The sequence below is a fragment of the Homo sapiens genome, chromosome 12 (assembly GCF_000001405.40).
Source record: "Homo sapiens chromosome 12, GRCh38.p14 Primary Assembly".
NCBI classification, from domain to species: domain Eukaryota; kingdom Metazoa; phylum Chordata; class Mammalia; order Primates; family Hominidae; genus Homo; species Homo sapiens.
The window spans coordinates 5,233,685-5,257,586 of NC_000012.12; the positions used below are offsets into that span (position 1 = coordinate 5,233,685).

Genomic DNA, 23,902 nt, shown 5'->3' on the forward strand with positions numbered 1-23,902 from the left:
AGTCTTCTAGTTACAAAGGAGTGATTTTAGGTGACTTCAATTGGGGTGAAGACTCCCCCACAATATGTCTTCGCCTCCTCCCTCACGCTGCCCCCATCTCCTTCCAACATTGTTCTTTAGTCCCCGTGTCCTTGGCCAGCCTGCCAGGCACTACCTCTTTCCCACAGGCCACCAGTTGAAACAGAAAACACCCACAGTTAAATATGGCCCCAGGAAAACAGAGTTAAAGGAATATTAGGTACATAGTCTTTGCTTCTGGAACTTTCTCCAAGTGACTAGAAGAGGCAAGACCTCAGCCCATATCACCTGAATAATGGACAGATGATCTTTCTATTTGGAACAGCCAAGAACAATATTCTCAAGAGTATTCTCGTGGGATGAAGTGTTAGGGAGAGCAGCAGTGTCACGAATGAGCACTGGAACAGGAGACAGGAGACCAGAATGCATGGACTGGCTCTACCACTCTGTCTCTGACCTTGGGAAATTTCCACTTTCAACCTTGATGGCCTTCCCTGTAAAATAAGGAACTGGTCTTGACACTCATCTCACCATCAAGCAGAGTGCCAGCTGCAATGTGGGTGCTTGATCGATGCTTGTTGAAACAGATGATCTTAGTCTGAGATTCTCGAATGGCAGAATCCCACCACAGTGCCTACCACACAGTAGGTATTCAATAAAAGTGAATTTCTGTAAGTTAATTTTCATGTGACTACAGAAAACCGGTGCAGCATGCTTGAATTAGGGATGTATTGTGTAATTCATAATCAGGGAGTTTGGGTGGTGCAGAGGGGTGATTCCAGGAACAGAGGTCCACAGACAGCCCTCTGTGAGAAGGGCTGAGAAGACCCTGGCACAGCTGGAGGGACAAACACACTCTCTTCACCTCACTCAGCCTCTTCCCTCGGCTCCCCTCCCTCATGGGAGTCTCCCTAACAGATACGCCCTAGGCAGAGGAGAAAAGATCACAACACGGGCCTGGACACCAGGGCTTTCAGAACCAGTGTGGGATGGGAACTCCCTTTTATGGTACAGTGGCCTCTGAGCAACGCTTCAGGGGAAAGCTGGGTGACCTCTGGATGCCCCCTCAGCTTGCCAGGACAATTTTGACATTCCCATAGCGCAGGTGGGCTGGTTTGAGGAACCCAATACCAGCTATAGCCAAATTCCTGGGGAAACGGAAAGAACATTCATAGAGTTCAGTCTAGGGAATCTCAAAGGTCTTTTGAGAAAGGCTTTGGAGGAGGCAGCACTTGCCTGAAGGAAGGAGGATGAAAGGGATGAATTGGCTGGGCAAATGGTCCAGGCCTAGGCTCAGTGAGCACAGGTGGATGGACTCCCTGAAATCCCCATCACCCACCCGCTGTGAGAACGATAGTGCTGCTCTGCACTATAACTTCCGGGGGAGCAGGGTTGTCCTTAATCAAATTTGTCTTCCCTGCCCCCGCATAGATGATTGCTACATTTGTGCCTTTTATTATTATTATTATTATTATTATTGTTATATATATATATTTTTTGAGATGGAGTCTCACTGTGTAACCCAGGCTGGAGTGCGGTGGCGAGATCTTGGCTCACTGCAAGCTCCGCCTCCTCGGTTCAAGTGATTCTCCTCCCTCACCCTCCTGAGTAGCCGGGATTACAGGCATCTGCCACCACGCCTGTAATTTTTTGTATTTTTAGTAGAGATGGGATATCACTATGTTGGTCAGGCTGGTCTCGAACTCCTGACCTTGTGATCAGCCTGCCTCGACCTTCCAAAGTGTTGGGATCACAGGCGTGAGCCACTGTGCCAGGCCTAATTTTTGTATTTTTAGTAGAGATGGGGTTTCTCCATGTTGGCCAGGCTGGTCTCGAACTCCTGATCTCAGGTGATCCACCCACCTTGGCCTCCCAAAGTGCTGGCATTACAGGCGTGAACCACTGTGCCCAGCCCATTTGTGCCTTTTTAAAAATGGTTTTCCAATGTATGTTGCTGAGGACACCATGCAATCCTGAGCACTTGAGCAGTGGAGAGGGAGCAGCAGGTCAGAATGGTGTGCTGGGCAGAGTGGAGAGTGAGGAAAGAGAAGAATCAAATGTGATGATGTTGCTCTGGTCGTAAGGTGTGGGGATATTTCAGTTTCCAGAGCCTTATTTAGGTTTAACTAATCATCATCTTTCATAATCACAGACAACTTTATGTTTTCAGAGCAGCTTGACACACAGAATGGTATTTTTTCCTTCACAAATTTTCTCTGCACAATAGACGAGGGGAATCTTATTATACTTATTTAAGAGATGAGAAACCTGAGAAAGACAGAGATCATGATTAGCCCAAGCTTACTTGATTAGGCAGCTAGGCAGCGGAGATGCAAGGCTAGGATATACCCTTGTCTCTCTGTTTTCCAACTTCATGATTTTTGCCATGTAGCTTTGCCCCCTACACTACTGCTTATTATAAATATATGATATATATTTAAAAGATATAATTATTTTTATATGATCAATTAAATATATATTTAATATTTATATGTTTAATCATTTAATGTTTATATGTTCAAATATATTTAATATTTATATATTTAATTAATTAAATATATATTTAATATTACACATTTATATATTTAATTAATTCGCTTTAGGAAAGTCTTCTGGTCCTAGGCCAGGAATTATCTTTGTAATTCTTTACTCTATTTGGATCATGTTTTTCTCTGTACATAGCATAGGATAAAAATGATGACAGCTAGCCAGCGTTTTTGAGTGCCTACGTATGTTGTAACTAATACAGTTCTCCCAGGAGACAGGCCACATGGAAGGTTTCTGAAGTTAAACAACAAGCTCAAGGTCATACAGAGGGTATAGAGAGGAACAGGAGTTCATGGCCAGATCTTTCTTTCTGACTCCAAATGCCACATTGCCTGGCCTCTGGAACTTGACTGCCCCAGCACTCCCGTAGGGCCTGCCATCACTGAGGGTTTGCAAACCTCAGTCCAATATGGCTGCTGAATCCCCACCTGCACCATTCCATGTCCCATTTCAAAATCAACTATGGGCCCAGAGCTTTCCCTCTCTTTAATCCCACTTGTCTGTCCTAAGAACCAGGTGGTTTTGGTAAAGGTGTTCAGAGACTATAAAGTCATGGCAATTCCGTTCTCTATCTTAGCAGGCAGAGTACTAGGACAGGAAAGGGGCTCTGTAGGCCAGCACGTAGCCGTTGCATATCCAAAGACCACCTCTGCCAGCCCAAGGATCCCCTATGTAGAAAGTCTTATGAATGCCTCTGACAGTCAAAGTGGAGGGTGAGAAGTGCATCAATCCCAGGGTACCATGACTGCCTTACCTTAGGCAGGTATATTCTCAGGACACTAGAACACCCTGTGAAGTCCTCAAGGACTTGGGACACGATTGCTGCGCCTTCTTCCTGGGAAGAGTCAGGGGAGAAAGCACAGGTTACTTCAGCAACTGTGAAGTAAGACACCCAATTCTCCTTGAGAAAAAGTATTCTACTAAGTCAGATGTAGAGCTCCTTGATTAAAAAGAACCGAAAGCTAATCCAATAAGTTATTTGCCATGAAGAAGGCTGCAAAGTCCATGAAAAATACTACTACATCTTTTCCTCACCACTAAAAAAAAAGGGAGAAAAAACCTTCACATGAGCTGACATGACATTGATGACCACTATAGGAATTTAGAACATGATCAGTTAGGAAGGGCTTGAACCTAAATCTAACTACGGATTATGCTTCTGGATCTTGAAAAAGAAACCAGACTTCAAAGCAAAGGTTAAGAAAGTTCTATCTTGGAGGGAGTACCTCCCAATCTAAGGCTGCCTTTAGTTGTTGTTTTAAGCATCTTGTAAGATAGCTTTATTTCCCTGGTTTCTTAGTAAATTCCTTAAGGTCAGACACAATCTCTCAAATTTCTTTTGAGCCTCACATCTCACCAGCAAAATTCACACCACAAACACAGAAGCAGCTCCACACAGAGGCCTCTGTCTCTTTGAAAAGAAATAATGGCAATGACCGGGATGGTCTTAAACCCTCCACTCTCTGGGTCTTTGTTTTCTCACAGTAAGATGAAAATCTCTCTTCAAGATCCCTCTGGGTCTAGGTAGGTTACTTCTCTGGAGAAAAGACATGTGGCATCAGAAAAAGAGCACTCAACTTAGAACCAGACAAGTCATTTGAATTCTTGCAGGATCACCTACTACTAAGCCTTTCTGTGCCTCAGTTTCTTTGCCTGTAAAAGGGAAAGATGATACATGCCTTCCTTATTTCAAATGGTTCTTGTGAAACATAATTCAGACAGCAAATGGGAAAAGAAACCATTGTAAATCATGGAGCTAAACTCATAGGGAAGTAGCTTTCTACAGTAGGATGAAGTAGTTGAATGGAGTTTTATATGCAGAGGATCCCACAAAGTTAAAAAAACTGCACAGAAAAAATAAAAAAAGGAGCGATTTCAGATGGCATGGCATGGGAATGGGCAAGAAACATCTTCCACGTAAACAATGCAAGCTTTAGACTTCTTGGCTGTTAATTACATGAAGAGACCAAGAGACTTGTAAACCCATCTGCTGCATTGTAGATGATTCCATACGGTTGAAATCTGATTCTGGCTCTTGGAGAGTGGGTTAAGTAGATACAATCAGGCAGGAGCACTGTGAATAAAACAATAGAAAGGCATATTTGTATTGTTCTTTACTGTTTTCAAAGCACTTATGCATATATTATTATCCCATTTCATCCTTATACACACGTGAAGTAGGTATTAGGTTCTTATTCTTCAAGTGAAGAAACTGAGACTCAGGAGAAGTAATTTGCTAAAAGTCACACAATTAATAAACAACTCCACCCAAACTCAGGTGTCCTGATCCAAAAGTCTCTGCTTCTTCCAAGTTTGAGAAAAATATTATGTTACTTATCTCAGTAGATTTATTGTGGGGGAAATGAAGCCGTCTTAGCTTTTTTGGCAAAAGTGCACTCTGGTCTTCCTATTGCACCATCAAGCTTTGTTGCCTGCACTCCAAATCTTGAAAGTGTTTTAAAATATTAATGCTCATCATACAAATAGATTGCACCACAGATTGTAAAGATGCCTAGAATTAGTCCATGAATATAATGTCATGGAAGCACTATTGCCTTTGATCCTAAGCTTGTATCCCTGGGGCCAGCCAAGCAAGGGGAGATGTGTACAGTTTGATCTGAATCTTGGATTTCTGGAGGAATCTTGGAGCCTATGTGTAAATGTAAGATTTGCCCCTGGGTATGGACATAGACCTGCAGCAGATCCCTATCCATTGGCTAGGATGCTTGAGCAGGACATTGCTTTCTGGTATGCTATCATATCTCCATGTGTTTGAAGACAGTCACTGACCATACTATAGAAGTTCCCTTTGTGTTCTGGGAAACATAAGGAGGAATAAATTGGTGCTTGGCTGAACATCGAAAGCAGGTCGTGAGGACAAGCCCAGCCTAATGCTTTCACTCTCCCTTGCCTCAGCACATATCTGTATCCCTCAGGAGCTAATTCTGTGGAAAGTTAGTGGTGGTTTGTCCTTTTGAACAAGAGGAATGACTCAAGATAAGCCAATGTTATCATATTCTGTTAAATCCATTTCTCCTTAGATGTTGGACACTGAGTTGCGATCAAGATGGATTTAGGCAATGAGGACTCTCTGTTTTAAAAAATGCAACCACATAAATCAATTGACTTTGTTCAATGGATTCACCTACTATGAGGCCAATCTCTATTCTTGTAAAATTTTCCCCCAATTTAGGGGTTTCTATACCTGGTTTACTGAGTGATATTTGGAAAATTACTCACACTCTCTGGTCTTGATCTCAAACTCTTGATTTCAAAGTATCTGGAGAATGACAAACGTGCCTACTTTTCCACTGAGCTTTCTATGAGAACTAATCAAGTATTGAGCAACTATTTTGAACTAGCTGTTTTAATTAGTAGAAGAGACCAGTGAGGGGTATAATCCAAGAAAACATCTAATCCAGGAACAACTAAAGAAGCAACAAATCAACGAGGCATAGGATTCTATCATGTTTTCAATTTAGGACTGGACCTAACATGAGGCACGAAAATAATCTAAGACATTATTTTTTGCACCAATGAATTTATAATCAAGCTGTGAAGATAATTCCTTAAGTGAGGTCTACAAAGAATAGGACTAATTGAATTCCACATTACAATTGTCTTGTAAAGTTATTTACTTATTCCAGTGGTTCTTCCATTGCTCCAGACATTTCTGGCATCCCCTTTAGTTTGTTGATGAACAAATTTGAAAGGGAGAGTTGGCACCCACTTCTCAGTAGGAAGAATCTCCTCCCCAATTCCTCCATTGCAATGAATTTGGGCTGGGGTTAGATCAGAAAGCCCAGGTTATCAGCTTCTGGCTTCTGAAAAGAACACCTGCTTGCTTGGAAGTATCAGGTGATCTAGGAGGAAAAATACAAAATGGAAAGGATTGGTTTCAGGAGACAATGGGAGCAGAGGATCAAAGGGTCTGGGAGGCACCAGCAGGCCTGAGAGTGGGTGAACCTCAGTGACACACACCTGGTGTCACTTTCTAATGGAGATTCCCGATTAGCGGAAAGAGTCAGAAAACATTTGGTAAATGGAGAGTACTATCTCTTCCTGTGCAGCCTTCTGAACCATAAGCTGTGCAATTTGTTCTTCTGTGGGGGTGTAGTGCCAGACCTTGTTTTGCAGATGGACAAACCCTTGGCTAAGCTCTAAAATCTGGGGGCTACCATTTATTTTGCTGATGACTTGAGTCCCTCCCCGCTCCCCTTTATTTTTCCAAGAAAGGCTGCTCTTTAAAGATTGACCTGATCAAGTTTCAGGAAAGTTCGGTCAACTCTTGATTCCCACTTTGGATAATAGCCTGGTTAAATTTTAATGTTAGGCTGCCCTGTATTCAATTCAATAGCCCACATATTTATTAAGTAACTACCCTGCAAAAGGACAGACATGCACCGTTAAAGAGGAACCATGAATAGTGCATGATGCTCACTCTCAGAGGCCTGATTCTCTAATAGTGGAACTAAATAAATAACAACAACTGCAATAGAAGGCTGAACGTGTTAGCTATAGATGACAAGTTCAAAGTCCTGGGGCATTTTAAACTGGGAGAGACCATATATGCACAGTGTTGGGTTAAGTAGGGAAGCCATGGCGTTATGACGTGGGAGTGACAGCTGAGATAAGTCTCAAAAGGTTCATAGAATTTTTCCAGTCAGAGATGAGTATGGTGGCCTTGAAGAAGTTGGTGGGGAGGCATGGGATATAACTGATACAGGAAGTTTGATTAAAAGTATGGAAAAAGGAGTAGAGAAAGGTGGGCTCGAAAGAGTAGAGTGGGTACAGATTTTGGAGGCTCTGAATGCCAGGTTAAGTTTCTGGCACAAAGTAGTGGGGAGATGGGGAAGGCTTCTGAGCACAGGAATGGTCAGTGTTGTACCTTGGGAGAGTACTCTGACAGCAGCAAATAGGGTAAACTGGAGGAGAAGAAATAGAAGAAGACTACTGCAATGTCCTGGAAGAGGAGGTGTGAGTGCCTGCCTCAGCAAGGTGGCAATTAGGAAGGAGATGGTGCCAAGGGAGACATGGCAGAGAAACCTCCTCCACACATCCTCTCCAGTGCAATCCCTGGGTTAAATGACTCCTGACACAATGCTTTGAACAGCCAAATAGAATGGACTCTGGAGCTGTCTTGTTTCTAATTTTGTGCCTTAATGACCAGTTGATAAAAACCATCTAATGCCTGACTTAAGGAAGGTCCCAAGTGTTGGGACCCGCTCTGATCACAGTCCTCTGGCTACTTACGCAGGATATTTTGCCTGTCTACATTTATGGGAGTCTTGTTTTCTACACTATTTAATGTGCCCTTTTCTGAAAGATTATAAGAAAAGAAGCCAGATATTTGAGGTCAGAGGTTAGAGCTTGACGTAGAGATAGAAGGAAAGGAGGGAAATTATAGAAAAACACAAAAGAATTTATTAAAGAAAAGAAATTTTCATTGGTTCAAAAAGACAGCTAGGGCCAGGTGCGGTGGCTGACACCTGTAATCCCAGCATTTTGGGAGGCCAAGGCGGGTGGATCACCTGAGGTCAGGAGTTCGAGACCAACTTGGCCAACATGGTGAAACCCAGTCTCTACTAAAAATACAAAAAAATTAGCTGGGCGTGGTGGCACATGCCTGTAATCTGAGGCAGGGGAATTGCTTGAACCAAGGAATCAGAGGTTGCAGTGAGCCGAGATTGCGCCACTGCACTCCAGTCTGGCGACAGAGTGAGACTCGGTCTCAAAATACAAACAAACAAAAAAAGACTGCTAGGGGTCCTGGACCATCCAGAAATATAAACACAATGTCCAAGATAATGGGTATACCAACTGATTTTCTCTATTAGAGAATTTTCCAATGATGGACATACATTGCAAGATGATTCCACAGGGAAAAAGGGTGTGTGTGTGTGTGTGTGTGTGTGTGTGTACATAAGCATTTGCAAAAAACCGTTACCAAAGTTTGTTGCTATTTAGCTCACCATTTCTGATTACACAGCAACCCCCATGAGGTTCCCTTCCCCCACTACCCTTGAGAGAATTAAATTGTTCTAGCTCCAAGACGGTAACATAAGCATCTGCCCATCTATCTCCAGTGACTTATTTACTATGACTTCTCCTTCAACCTGCAGGTCAAGGATTCTCTGAAACATAAATATTTAGGTCAAGAAAAATAGAGGAATTTATTTAATATAGTGGACTTTTTTCACTGTGCTCAATGAATATCTCCATGCCTAGTGCCTGTGCTATCAGAGGTTTATACGATTTAGAAAAAGCAATGTTCACTGTCACCTCAGACAAACCTTGACACATCAGTGGCTTAATGTTACCGCAAACATTTGTTTCTTGCTGACATCGAAGTCCAATAACAGGTGGGTCAAGCGGGCTCTGTCTCAGAGCTCTACCATCTGGTATATGTGCCATCTAAGGCCACTGTGGTGGAGGAAGAAAGAGCTGAAGGATCTTGCAGGCTGTCTGTAAGGGGCATGCTTCACGCAGCTTATCTCACTGTGCTTATTTCGTTAGCCAGAAGTCAGCAAGTCGAGGCTCCAACCTCATACAAGGGAGGCTGGGCATCCAGAAGAGCACAGGAATCTTTGGTGCTGCGGAGCTTTTGCTCAAGGGCTTCCTAGTGGCCATGTGACACCCAGAGGGTCCGTAGGCCACATTGACTAGCTCCGTCCCAACGCTGCCCTTGGGCTTCCAGCATTCATTGCACCCCCGCCCCCAACCGTGTGGTTAGGAGAAAGACTGCGAATGTCCTGTTAAAACCCTTGATAAAAGATATTGCCAAGTCCTGGCTGTGGGATGAAGATGAGAATCCTTACCATGGGGTCTGCGCTCTTGACTTTGGTTGTGGGGTGAGGGGAAGCAGAGGAGAAAGAGAGAGACAGAGACAATGGGAGGTGAAGAATGCACAAGCAGCTGAAACATTGCCTCATTGTGTTCCCAGATTCTGATACTGCATCACTGGCTTCCAGAGCGCCTGTGTGACGTCACTGGATTCCAGTCTCTATATTTGTTCACCATCAGTGCCTCTTACTGTAAATAATTGAAAGGAATATAATAGGGTGAGAATTATTGTTGCCTCCCCCCTTTCGCCTTTCATAAAATCTTTTTATATCAGAGGGGTCTGGCCCCAGCCACTCCTAGCTCTATAATTAGTTCTGGGAGCTGTGAGGACTGAGTTTTAGCTAATGACATTTCACAGTTCAATCTTGAAGTACCTCAGGCTTTGTGATCTTTTTTGAAGCAAAGAGCTAGGGCTACAGATGAACCTGGGTAATTTGCACTAATAATACGTCAGTCTGTCAGCAGATTCCCAAATTTTACAAATAAGCAAGGGAACCCTGCAGGCTGATGTGCCAGTCAGAGGGTCCTTCCCAGCCTTCATGCTCCCAAAGCAGATGAGAGTGGGCTTGGTTTCATTAGTCACAGCTGGTGGGTTTTCATTATCTTCATTCTCTCATGTCTGCCTTGGCCATCATTGAGCCACACACATCTTCAAGCAAAGCATTCTCTGCCTTGAGACACACTAGTTCTTAAAGTGCTCTAGACTTCAGGAGAACCTGAAGCCCCTCACAGAGCCTTTGGAGTGCATGGCTATGAGGCCTGGGCACACAGCGAGACATGTAGTTGTCACTATCACCCAGTGCAAAAACACTCAGAGGGGCTCATGAGAATCCTGTCTTCAGAAACTGAGGCCCCAAGACATTCAATGACTTGCAAGTCTGTTCTTTCCTGTCCATCTTCTCTCTTCTCTACCACACTTCCCCTCTCTCTCTCTCTGGAAATTACCTGGATTCCCTCTCTTGGCCTCCAGACGGGTCAATATTTCCCTGCTTTTGCACATACCCTTACCTCTGATATCGTGCCCTTCCCACCTTGTTCTGCTGAACTTCCTCTCTAAGGCCCAGTGCAATCATTTCTCATCTTTGAAGTCTCCTTGACTTTGTCCCTTCGAAACTGAGTTTTCACTCCTTCTTTTGTGCTGTCATAGCCTCTTATGCTTAGCTTTATTTCAGCAATAATCACACTGTGATATAACAGTGTATGAACTGTCTTTCTCCATCACGCTACAAGCTTGAGGGAATGCACTCTATCATCCTTGTCTTAGTATCACCAGAGCCCAGGTGCTTTAGACACATAGTAGATAATCAATACAAGTTTTGTGAGTGAATAAGTATAAAAGTGTTGACCCTTTCCCTATGCACAAAGATAACTTTAAGACTGAGAAAGACAACAAATGTAGAATGCTTGGGATGCTTTAGAAAAAGCGGGGGTTGGGGGGTCACTAATCAAATATTATTTTGAGACTTCAAGTCTCCATTTGTCCTTATCTCCCAGGACACACCGTGAGGACAGGCAATTGCAGTTTCATGCAAGGCCCTCCCCCTTTCTTCTGCTGTTTACACTGGATCAGAAGGTGGGGCAAGAGTCTGATTGCTGCAGTATTTGCAGGGCTGCTGTAAAATAAAACAGTCTCCATGGCTGAGAAGCCCTGTGGCCAGGGTGAGCCACACTTCACCTCGTCCTGAAGCTATTGTGCTTGGATATTAATAGCCCTAGGCAGTGTTGTCTGTGTGGGCAAGTGCTGCTTTTTCCGAGCTGTGTAAGCCCCCCATCTCCCAGAGACAAAGTGCTCCACAAATAACTGCAGCATGTTCTGAATTCCTCTGGGCGGGGAGCTTTGGGGATAATTAGCAAGGCAAGGAGGAGCAGGGGTTTAGACAGAGCACCCATCACCAACAGCTCCTGGCAGCCCACAGCTTGGGGTGGGGAGTGGGTCAGGGCTAGAGTGCAAGGAGCCCGGGTAGGTAGAGAGGGTCAGCTCTTCTGGATTTCAAGCCGGCCTCTAAAAGAAGCCAGCTGGAGATCTCAAGCAAATCACTGAAATTGGTTCAGTCCTCCTTCTTCTGGATTGGGGTTCTGCTTATTTCATAGCTTGTTTTGATGAGTGAATTGAAGAAAATCTTGTGAGAGGCATTTATAGATTGCAAAATAATATATTAATTTCAGGGAAAACGATGATAATGGTGATGATGATGGTAGTGGCTTGTTAGGACAGCATGTCCTAGAAAAAATAGTGCGTCCTCTTCATGGTGACCATCTCTGGAAATCAGTAAGGAATAGGAACTAGGAACGGGGTTTGCACTCTGTTTTCACACGCCTCTCTCCAGGCCCAATGTCTTAGACCTCCCTGAACACAGCGACCCCACCCACACTTGGCAGAAGCTTCACACCTTCTCTAGAGGAAGTCTTTCTTTCACTCCTACACACATATTTTTTTTAATAGGGTCTCACTCTGTTGCCCAGGCTGGAGAGCAGTGGTGTGATCATAGCCCACTGCAGCCTTGACCTCTCTGGCTCAAGCGATCCTCCCATTCTCCCACCTCAGCCTCCCAAGTAGCTGGGTCCACCGGTGTGTGCCATCATGCTAGACGAACTTTTTTTTTTTATTATTTTTTGTAGAGACAGGGTTTCCCTATGTTGCCCAGGCTGATTGCGAACTTCTGGGCTCAAGCTATCCTCCTGCCTCTGCCTCCCAAAGGGCTGGGATTACAGGTGTGAGCTACTGAACCCAGCCCACAACCTTTTTTTTGACTAGTAGGAACATTTTTCACTAAGAACTAGTTCAAAAGTAATCTTTTAGAAAAATTGTGATTAAACGGATCTCTCTGTACTTCATACCGTTCTTTTTCTCTGTGTCTACTGGACCAGACTGGCATTTGCCCACTTCCTAGGTGTGTAACCTTGGGAAGTGACTTCATGTCTTTGTCCCTCAGTTTCCTCATCTGTGAAATGTCCCGAATAATATCTATACACAGCAGTGGGAAGAGTGTCTGGTCTTTGGTAAGAGCTCAATTGATGTTAACTGACAGTGTACACCTTCCCCCATCACCTGAGTTGATACAGTCCTGTTGCCTTTTAGGAGGTCTGGTGTTGATTTTTGCAGTGGAGTAACTCGGAGTGACATGGATCTCCTGACTACTCCACTTGAAGGAACTAAAAGGAATGGGAGGGAACCAGGCCCTCTGCTGAGCCCTGCTTAGTGGAGCCTTAACTCTGACAAACAAGAAGCAGAAGGAGCTCAATGGCCCATGAGTACTCACACATCTCATTGAGGAAGACTCCTCAGATTCCTGTGCCTGGGGAACAAAGAGCGTTAGGCATGCACGAGTTTCCTAAGTTTTCCTTAACAAAGGGCCTCTGACAGGGCAGCCTCAACAATGGAAATTTATTGTCTCACAGTTCTGGAGGCTGAAACCTGAGATCAAGGTGTAGGCAGAATCATGCTCCCTCTGAAGGGGCTGGGAAGGGTCTGTTCCAGACCTCTTTTCTAGCTTCTGGGAGTTCCTTGGCTCTCAGCGGCACAACTCCAACCTTCACATGCATTCTCCCTGACTGCATACACTTCCCCATGTCTACATTTTCCCATTTTATAAGGACCCCTGTCATATTGAATTAGGATCCATCCTAATGAACTCATTTTAACTTGATTTCCTCTGTAAAGACCCCATCTCCAAATAATGTCACATTCTGAGGTAGTGAGAATTAGGACTCCAACATATTGGTTTTGGGAGACATGATTTAACCCATTACAGGGATGCCATCCCCTGGACCCTCATTTTGCTAAAAAAAATAGAACCTTATAGGAAGGATGGACTCTCTCTCCCATGTTATAGACAAAGAAACTGAATCCTGAGAGGTTAATGAAAAAGAAACAAGTATGAAGTCTCAGGTCTCCAGACTAGAATTCACAGACAGAAAGAGCCCCCACTTCTGCTGTGGACCTCAGCATGCTCTCCACATCTGAGTGCATTTGATCACCTGAGGAGCTGGATGGAATTCAGATTTCTCCTGTTGTACACCACCCCTAGTGAGTCAGGAACTCTGGGGATAGGACTTAGATACATATTAAACAGGCCCACCAGGTAACTTCCTGCTCACTGTGGTTCCAGAAACTTCCCCCTGGTATATAGGTAGTGGATCAGGGTGTTATCGGTGGCATAGATTGGAAATCAGAGTGAAACATGGGAGATTAGAGGCAGCTGTGTCTCCCAGGGCCGCCTGATGGATTCCAGCATCTGGTTGCATGAGAAGCCGAGTTCAGGCCTGCAGCAAAGCCCTAGATATTTTCCACTGCCACATCTTCCTGGTGGCTTAAGAATGACAACTATGTGGAGTGACTGTGACCACAGATTTGAACTGAGGTTGGAAGAGTGTGGGAATTTTAGAACTAGACACCCTCTGCTTATGAACCCTTTTGGCCTCAGCTTTTGGGGGTCCCCTCCTCAGAGCTAAGCTAAGACTGTAGGGGAACTCGCGTGTATCACAGGAGCCTATTGATCCAGTGCTAGGTTTTTACTCTAAAAATTACCCTTTGTATTTGTGTGAGTACCTGTATAATGGGTATAAAATGATATGTTGCATCTGAAGAAGAACCCATACAAGTGGATCATTCTGGGAAAGACAAATAAGGATGCTCAGGCATGTTCAGGTACCTGCATCTGGAAAAGTAGACAATGAGGATGATCACTTGGCTCTGCACAAAAAAGGACGAGGGCTACTTTAACCTGATCCTCCAGGATCTCTAACTCCAAACCAACAACACTGCCTTGGGGAACTCCCCTGTCTAGCGCCTTTTATGGCTAGGCTTCCATATTTCAGGATCAAAGCAGGCATACAGGAGAGAGTCAGCTGATGCCTTGCACAATGATATAGCTGTTTTCTGTCGAGCTGTTTTCTGTCGTTGTAGAAGCTTACAATTCCCTACAGGGAGATTAGCTCCATTTTACTGAGAAACAATCTGCTAGGTATACAAGGCATACAGTAGGATGCTCCCTCCACTAATAGAATCAGGTGGAACTCTACCGACATAGTCAGAACTTTGGTGTGGAGAATCCAAGGCAAAGGAGAGACCAAATTGCACTGGCCTTGGGAAGCTTCATCCCCTTGCTTTTGTGTCTGTCTTCCTTTCACTTTGGGGGGAGAGGTAAAAACATTTAACTTTTATAATGATGTGTGACTTTTCAATGCAGAATTGGTAGGAGGAAATCACTATGGGACTCAAAGCTTCTTTGGAGGAATAATGGAGTGGATAACCCAGGCATGAGTGGCAAGGAGGAGCTGCCTGCATCTGTGCCAGGCTGGCTGTGGAGGGTACAGAGCAATGCCAGCATCTCTTAAGAAACTGCCTCACTGTGTCATCTCTGGGTTGGACTGTTTCATCATACGAGATATTTGCCATGTGTTCTGTTGCCAAAGAGATGCATTAATAACAATAGTTAACCAGGATTGTTTTTTGTTTAGGTGTGAATGGTCCGTTAATTTTCTGACATGCACAGTCATAGTGATTTTTTTTAGAAGTACCAGAAGAAAGCCCGGAATAATCTCTGATTTACATATACAGAGCTGTTTGCTCAAAGACACACTATGGATTTCCCATGCAATTTCAACTGCAACAGAACGGTGGGGAAAGAGACAATAATTGGTATCATTTCTGTCTTATAGGCAGAAAAATCAAGGTTCCATTTCTTGCTGTGTAGGTCCATAGACGTGGAAACAGAACTGTACTCTCTAGCATCTGTGTCCACCCTTCTAGGTCCTGGGCTCCAATCAAGGATAAACTGCAACAAAAATGAGGTACATTGGTCACCAGGAAGCAGTTTCCAAAAACGATTACTCTAGGACTCTGATTAAAGGAAGGTTATTGTTGTTGCTGTTGTTGCTTTTAAAAATGTGATTATCAGAAGAGAGGATGCTCATGTATCTAGGTTAGATGAGGCAGAATCCAGAGGTGGGTTGTGGGGGAGGGTGGGATTAGACAACTTCCTGCGGTCTCTGGATCCTCTTACTCCACCATTCAGAAAACAGAAGTATCCAAACCTTAGTGACCGCAGCCCCCTGAACGCTGATCACTAACATGATTAATCAGCGGGAATGCCAGTAGTCTTGTTTAGAACAGGGCCAAGCAAAGTGATGGATTGTTATCATTATCAGTAGCACTATTTGCAATTAGTAGTAATTGCATGCTCATCTTTGGAGATCTTTTGGAGGTAATTGAATCACACTACTTAAGAATTCAGTCCCTCCAGTTCTCCCTCTTTCTTTTTTTTCCTCCATCCTCACCCCATGCCTGGAAAGCAAAGACAAGGCAGTTAATATTAATCAGGTCATTATGCTTCGTTGAGATTTATGAAATAAAGTGTTCGAATACATGGTCACGTGTTAGCGCTTCAGCATCTTTGCTCTTCAGTAGCAGGCATATGCTTAACTCTTAGGGTTCCAGGTCAATTATTGGTTATGAACTTCCTACTTCTAGGAATATACTAGGTCTTTAATCGAGAATCATAAGCTGAAAAGACTTAACCCACAAGGTAACATGGAACTCACCTACATGTGTGGATGTGTGGATGAACCAGACTTGAAATTCTGAACTCTGGGCTCTTAGGCCAGTGCTCTTCATGGAGCACCTTGCTACTTTTGAAAAGTGATGCTCCAAGTCATTCACAGCACGTCGGCACAATCCTTCAATGTGTCCCTCTGTCACCAGCACCCTGGATGGCACACAGGATGTATTAACAGCATCTGTATTAACAACTCGAGCACCTTTCCTATCAGGCATAGTCTGCTTTGAGGACCAACTTCTTCCTTACTAGCCCACTGATTAATAAGTTCTTACTGAACATCTACTGTTTGCTTCAGCCTGAAAACATGTTTGGCACACCTACGGGGCATTAGACATTATACTGTATCCTAGGGCTATGAGGTTAATAAGACTCAGTCTCTTCCCATGCCAAGAATCCAAGGAGATCAAGACAAGCACATAGGTATGAACAAAGGCAAGTGCAATATGCATGGATGTGCCTGAAGATGAGCTACTTTAATAGCGTTATGTTAGAAACAGCTAAATCTACAAAAGTAGACAGTTTAATTAATTTATGCCATAGATATATTTATTAGTGTCAGCTGTGTCCCAACACTGTACTAATTACTGGTAGTATAATACAACAAATATAGTCTCTGCTGTTTCCCTCATGTATGTTATATTCTAGTAAAGAGACAGATCTCTTTATGAGTTCTTGAGAGAGGGCTGCAGAAGCCAACCTCTGGAACTGATGAAAAATGAACACCTAATGACCCAATTACTTAAGAATTTAACTACAAAATAGGACTTACATAAGTAGTAGTAACCTGTTTAATCATAACTAAGCATTCAAATTTATTTTGAAGAAAGGTGAAACTACACAGCATTTAAATAAATACGAACATCAAGGTGTAGATTGTGTTTGTCCCTCTTTTTTTTTTTTTTTTTTTTTTTTAGAGGAGTCTCACTGTGTTGCCCAGGCTGGAGTGCAGTGGTGCAATCTTGGCTCACTGCAAGCTCCACGTCCGGGGTTCACACCATCCTCCTGCCTCAGCCTCCCAGGTAGCTGGGACTACAGGCACCGGCCACCACGACCAGCTAATTTTTTTTTTTGTAGTTTTAGTAGAGACGGGGTTTCACCGCGTTAGCCAGGATGTTCTCAATCTCCTGACCTCGTGTTCCGCCTGCTTGGCCTCCCAAAGTGCTGGGATTACAGGCATGAGCCAATATGCCCAGCCAACGTTATCTATTAATAACTCTTACTATTAACAGTTGTTGAATATATGAGAGAGTGATATAAGATTTATTCTTACATCTAAGTACTATTTATCTGAGTGTCTGTCATGGTACCTGTTCCCAGGAAGTTTGTAGTCTGGTAGGAGAGGTGTATACACACAAAAAGTAACAAAGCAATAAAATAACTGTAGCCTGTATTGAATGTATTAGGGAAACAAATAGAATGCTGTGATATGAGAGAGAACAGAGTGCCATTATTAAAAAGTGCTGGCACCGGAGCTAGGCTGCCTCGGTTTGAATCCCACCTCTATTACTTGCCAGCTGTGTGACCTTGAGCAACTTATCTAACTTCTCTGCGCCTCCATTACTTCAGTAAATAGAAAATATAGTTTCTCTGCAAACTAAATGAGTTAATATTTGTGATGTGCTTAAAATAGTGTCTGGCCTAAAATAAGTATGATGTACTAGCAGAGTTGATAATGCAAGGACTCATGCGAGTGAATTTCTCTCTTATGAAATTAATTCCTAATCTGACAATTTCGCGATGAGGGATGCATACTTTGAGGGACAATGATGTGCTGAAGCCAGCTTGTACTAATCCACAAAAACCAATGTTTCTCCCCTCTTCTCCAAACACTGCATTCAGTGACTTAAAACACTTCCCCCAGACTATGCATTCACTGATAGCTTGAGATTGGCCGTGGCAGGAGCATTCATACCACGAAATTGATAAATGCTACCTGCCAATCAGGGCTTTTCTTTTTTCCTCAAAGAATCGATTGCCAAATATTTACCAGCCCACCACTGGTATGTACATTTAGTAGAGGGTAATGGGGAGCTGGAGTTCTTCCCAGTAGTTCCAAACTGCTTACACCTATCATGATATATTTGTGAAATACATATTTGTTAAGAAATTCTAAAACACCTCATGTAATGTGTCCATTATACCAGGCCCAAAGGCGTGGGGGCTTATTTGCCCAGAAACTGGAAATGCTATGGAAAGACAAAGCCGTGATGACTGCCATTAATGATGGGCCACAGAAATAAGCTATTCATCAGCTGAGTACTCTCTCTTGACAAAGCACGTGCAATTGGGGTAACTTCTGCACAGGGCGGGGATATCTTGGGACAGGGCTGCAGGAGCCAACCTCTGCACCTGATGGAAAATGAAATACACATTGACCCAATTACTTACGCAATCACTATAAAAATAGAACTTAACGTAAGAATAAACCTGTTTAATCATCAAGTATTCAAATTTATTTTAAAGAAAGGTAGAACTACAATAAATATTAACATAATAAATAAATGTAAATATCTAATGAAGTATTAAAATAATATTTAAATGAATGTAAACATCAAGGTACAGATTGTGCTTTTTCCCACTTCATGTGATCTATTAAAAACTATTACTATTTAACATTTATTGAATATTTATTAAATGTCCATCTTTTGAGTGTTTTATTATGTATTAACTCATTTCATCCTGAAAAAAACCCATAAGGGAGTTATTATTATTGTTCCCATTTTACCAACAAAAAAATTGAGGCCTCCAAGAGATTAAGTAAGTGGCTCAGGGCTTTCAGCTGGTAAATGTGCAAACCAGGACACAAGCGCGGAGTATCTGACTTCAGCACCTTTGCACTGTGCCAGTGGTGTTGATAATGTCTAAAGACCCAATCCCGAAGGCTATAATCCCAAATGCTGAAATCCCAAAAGATCAAAATCCCTAAAGTCTAAATTCCTAAAGTCTAAAATCCCTACTTAAATCCCCAAACCATGACAGATTAAGAATTAGGTGCCACCAATGTTTCTAAAAGTAAATTTCAAGGAGTTACCAATGAAGTCTGTTTTTTTCCATTTTTTCCATTTGCTTTTCGTGGAAAATTCAGATGAGTGGATCGGCTACGTGATCAGGCAATGACAAAAACTTCAGTTAAAAATGCATTATTTGCCTGGATAGGTATTCCTTCTAGCTGATGAAATTCCAGGAACTTTTAATGAATTAAAGCTGCATTTGCCTGAAGAAGCCAGCAAAGTTACTGACAGGTTTGAAAATAATTATATGCACATTAGGATAAGAAGCTACTTACACAAGGTTGTTGCTGTTCCATCATCAGCATTGTTTCTGCCATATTTGTGGTGTGTACAGGAGTGCATGCAGAATGAATTTCCACATACTGAAAACAACACAGAAACATGGCATAAAAGATGGGTAAATTTAATATAAAAAGTTTATGTAAGTGTATATGGAATCATAGAAGAATTTCAAAAAGAGTAGCACCACGTAGACAATAAATGTAAACCTATTTCCCAAGGAGACCCATGCTATAAAAGATAAAAAGCAACTATTAAAGCAATGCAAGGCTTCAAAATGTAGTTAGTAATTGTGAAAGTCAACCAGCTCTTATAGACTATCTCCTTGCAATTGCCATAATCTATGCCTGTAAGACTTTTTCATATGTTGAATTTTCATTTAATTTTTTTTTGGGGGGGAGGGATTTTTTTTATTTTTGTAGTTTTTTTCTCCACTATTTTATTTTATTTTATTTATTTATTTGTTTTTTTGAGACAGAGTCTAGCTCTTTCACCCAGGCCGGACTGCAGTGGCGCTGTCTCGGCTCACTGCAAGCTCTGCCTCCTGGGTTCACGCCATTCTCCTGCCTCAGCCTCCCGAGTAGCTGGGACTACAGGCGCCCACCACCACGCCCAGCTAATTTTTTGTATTTTTAGTAGAGACGAGGTTTCACCGTGTTAGCTAGGATGGTCTAGATCTCCTGACCTCGTGATCCGCCTGCCTCGGCCTCCCAAAGTGCTGGGATTACAGGCGTAAGCCGCCGCGCCCGGCCTTCTTCACTATTTTAAATTGTTAGCATTACTTTTTACATTCACTTTTTACATATTTCTTACATTACATTTCATTTTACATTCGCTATGTATTTCACTTCCGCATTGTTTCCAACACTGGAGGTATAAACGGTGTAAAGACATTTGGAGAGTTCTAATTCGTTTTATGCATTTTTGGCAAATTTGACTCCACGAAAATACATTATCATAATGTTAACTCTGTGTGCAAACATTATGCATACACATAAGAATGTTGAAATTTCCTGTATAAATGAAGAGATGTCCTTTCTGTACATCTCCATGTTGGAGAGATAACATTTTGTGATCTCTGTTCTTTGGGCAACTGCATTTGCTGTTTGTGACCCATTGCAGTTTTTGATGGGTCTCGTCAAAAGGCTTAGGCTGTCCATTACAGTATTTCAGATGATCACATTTATATAAGCAATTTCTTTATGAATACAGTTCATCTGTTATAGATAGCCATTATATCCATGCAACTGTCATTAGTATACCTGAGTGCTTATGTTTGCAAAAAATATGTATGTTATCATTACATATTTTATAGTATAAAATGGTCTATGAAATGTTCTGTCATGCTTTTATGTTTCTCAAATAAATTTCCCATTAAAATGTAAATATATGTCTTTTAAAGAATTTTTATGGTTACATTTTACAGAGTTACATTTTTGAGACTTTGATCTTTCCAGATTTCAACATTCAGGATTATGGCATTTGGGATGGTATCTTTCTGCATTATGGCCCAAACTCTCACTATGCAATACCACCTCTCAAATGCTTTTCTCCAATGCAAACAACAGAACAAATGTCATTTCTATTATTGTGATACAACTTGTATCAGAGAAATTATATCTGCAGGCAAGAGTACTTCCTAACACTGAATCACGGAACAGGGCACTCTTACCCAGACACAGGCAGTGCTGAGCAGGACCTGGGCCACCTAGGGAGTAAGAATCAGGATGGTCCCCACCCTCAGGGTTGTGCTAGTGCAGAGTTGGCCCCGAAAGTGGGTGCCTCCTTAAATCTTGCTCCCAAGTGCTGGCCCTAGTGCTGGGCCACCACAGGCCTATTGGCCTCCTTGGTTTCATAAGTATACTTGCCAAAAAAGAAGACTATAAAAGCCAGAGAAAGAAAGAAGTAGAAGCCAATGGGCTGGAAAATCCACAAGCAACATTCCTGATAGCCAACTGCACAACCAGAGGCCGGGGCAGAGAGAGGAGCCTGGGGGTGGGGCCTGCCCTGCTTCCCAGCTATTAAGCAACTCAGGCTGTTCTTTTGTTTTGTTTTATTTCTTTCCAGCTTGCTTTATTGAGGTATAATTGACAAATAAGAATTGTACATATTTAAGGTTTTGATATACGTATACATCGTGAAATCATCACTACAATCAAGCTAATTCACATATCCATTACCTTACATAGTTACTATTTTTTCATAGTGAAAACACTTAAGATCGAATTTTTTACCAAATTACAAGTATGCAATATAGTATGATTAACTACAGTCCCCATGCACTGTACATTAGGTCTTCAGAATTTATTCATCTTATAACAAACTGCAAGTTTGTACCTTTTCACCAACATCTCTGTATTTCCTCTCTCCCTTACCCCGGCTGCCGTCATCCTACTCCTGTGTCTATGAGTCTGACTTTTTTAGATTCCACATATGAGTGAGATCACACAGTATTTATCTTTCTGTGCCTGACTTATTTCACTTAACATGGTATCCTCCCAGTTCCTCTGTGTTGTTGCGAATGGCAAAATTTCCTTTATTTTAAGGCTCAACAGTATTCCATTGTATATATAATCTACGCTTCCATTATCCATTCATCCACTAATGGACATTTAGGTTGATTACACATCTTGGTTATTGTGAATAATGCTGCAATGAACATGGGACTGCAGATAATTCTTTGACATACTGATTTCATATCCTTTGGCTATATACCCAGAAGTGGGAATCCCGGGTCATACAACAGTTCTATTTTCAGTTTTTTGAGGAACAACCATACTGCTTTTCATAATGGCTGCACCAACTTACATTCCCACCAACAGGGTGCAAGGGTTTCCTTTTCTGCATATCTTCACCAACACTTGTCATCTCTTGTCTTTTTGGTAATAGGAATTCTAACAGGTGTGAAGATATCTCATTGTGGTTTTAATTTGCATTTCCCTGATGATGAGCAATGTTGAGCATCTTTCTATAATCTGTTGGCCATTCTTAATGAGCCCAGGAAAGGAACACCCTCCCCGCCTCCACTGCTCACATGTACAGCTGCCCTCCTGTCATTGTCAGGCACCACTCCCACTGTCTCCTACTGCCAGCCTTCATCTCAGCACCAGCACTTTCTCTTCAAACCTTGTTCTCATAGCTCCAAAGAAGGAGCTCTCTCTCTTCCTTCTCCCCCTCAGGCCTTTGCAATGCTCATTCCGTTTCTATAAATTGTTCATTACTCACAATGGTCCCTGAGCTCGTTCTAAGGTCAGAAAAAGATTAAAGGCTGCTGAAGAGTGTGCATGAAGGCTGGAAAAGACCATGGTGCCATCTGTGAAAAATTCTTGCTCTTGGATGTAGTTTATTCAGCTTTTGGATAAAACACCAATGCTACACAGATATCAAAATAACACAGGAGAATGGGGTCACAGAAACCAAGGGCAATCAGCTGTATGGTCTTTAGTAAGCCACCTTCCCTTTCTGGGCCTCAGTTTCCTCCTTAACATAAGCAAGACACAGATGCAGCAGAAACTAAATAAACTCCAACCTTCCTTATAATTCTAAAATTATGAATCCTTAAGCCTAGATATTCCATAATGGATCTTTTAACTCCAAAATTTTGTAATTCCATGATTATTCTTTCCAAGAGAAATTTAAATGAGCCTGAGGGTCTGCATAGACAGCTGCCCTGGAGATTTGTAGACTCCTGGGGAGAATACTAAATGCTCATCCTATTTGTCCATCATCAGATCTGTCTTAAGGACCCATAAAGAATGGATGGTGAAGCTCCAGGTAAAGCTGTGTCCTCCTTTTTTGGCATCCATAGCAAGATATTTTCCTGCTACTACAACTTCCCCTCTGTTCCTTCCTTCTTTTCTGCAGCAATTCTATATTGAATGCCCACCATGTGCCAGACACAGGGGAACAAGTGGACAATGAAGGAAGAAGGTAGTCTATCTAGACCCTAGGCAAAGAAGCGCATGCAGGGAAGAGCTGCCTCCCTCTGTCCGTCTCTGGTTCCTTACCTCTTAAACACAGCTGCTCCTCAAAGAGCTGGCCCTACTCTCACTCACTTCACAAACTTTCATTGAGCATTTACTACATTCTGGGCATTGTGCTAGGCTCAAGGGACTCAGAGATAAATAAGGCTCCATTTTGATCCTCTCAACCAATCAACCTCCTGTAAAGAGGTGTTTGCTAGATATGGAACCAACCTAAGTGTCAATCAACCAAAGACTGGATAAAGAAAATGTAGTATATATACACCATAGAATACTACTCAGCCATAAAAAAATAAAATAAAATAAAGTGTTTTGCCACAACTTGAATGGAGCTGGAAGCCATTATTCTAAGTGAGGTAACTCAGGAATGGAAAACCAAATACCATATGTTCTCACTTATAAGTGGAAGCTAAGCTATGGGTATGCAAAGGCATACAGAGTGGTATAATGGACATTGGAGACTCAGAAGGGGGAGGGTAGGAAGGAGAATGAGGAATAAAAAACTACATGTAGAGTAGGATATACACTACCCGGGTGACGGCTGCACTAAAATCTCAGGCCTCACCACCACACAATTCGTCTGTGTAACCAAAAACCACTTGTGCCCCTAAAGCTATTGAAATTAAAGTATATATAAAAAAGTGTTTGTTGAGAGCCTGTG

At 42.5% G+C, this 23,902-nt stretch overlaps 2 long non-coding RNA genes across 4 annotated transcripts in view, besides 2 other annotated features; one reads left to right on the plus strand and one right to left on the minus strand.

Annotated features, from left to right (window-relative positions):
- Nucleotides 1-23,902, plus strand: part of LOC105369617 (uncharacterized) — a 257,798-nt gene that overhangs the window by 111,738 nt on the left and 122,158 nt on the right. The window lies entirely within an intron of this gene.
- Nucleotides 312-9,467, minus strand: LINC02443 (long intergenic non-protein coding RNA 2443). Of its 2 annotated transcripts, NR_120476.2 has the most exons (5): nucleotides 9,384-9,467; nucleotides 6,204-6,428; nucleotides 4,523-4,639; nucleotides 3,320-3,400; nucleotides 312-652 (listed from the first exon to the last, which is right to left on the minus strand). It is a non-coding gene; the product is annotated as a long intergenic non-protein coding RNA 2443 (long non-coding RNA). The 2 variants fall into 2 exon arrangements; NR_120477.1 differs by lacking the exons at nucleotides 312-652; nucleotides 3,320-3,400 and having other exon boundaries at nucleotides 4,364-4,639.
- Nucleotides 11,079-11,373: a silencer, noted in NCBI's record as "tiled region #8722; K562 Repressive non-DNase unmatched - State 3:PromF". NCBI's record gives its function as "represses a minimal TATA promoter and a strong SV40 promoter by Sharpr-MPRA in K562 cells {active_cell/tissue: K562}" and the evidence as "EXISTENCE:reporter gene assay evidence [ECO:0000049][PMID:27701403]".
- Nucleotides 12,231-12,998: an enhancer, noted in NCBI's record as "OCT4-NANOG-H3K27ac hESC enhancer chr12:5355081-5355848 (GRCh37/hg19 assembly coordinates)". NCBI's record gives its function as "activates a minimal SCP1, AML or CMV promoter by ChIP-STARR-seq in primed H9 embryonic stem cells {active_cell/tissue: H9 hESC(primed)}" and the evidence as "EXISTENCE:reporter gene assay evidence [ECO:0000049][PMID:30033119]".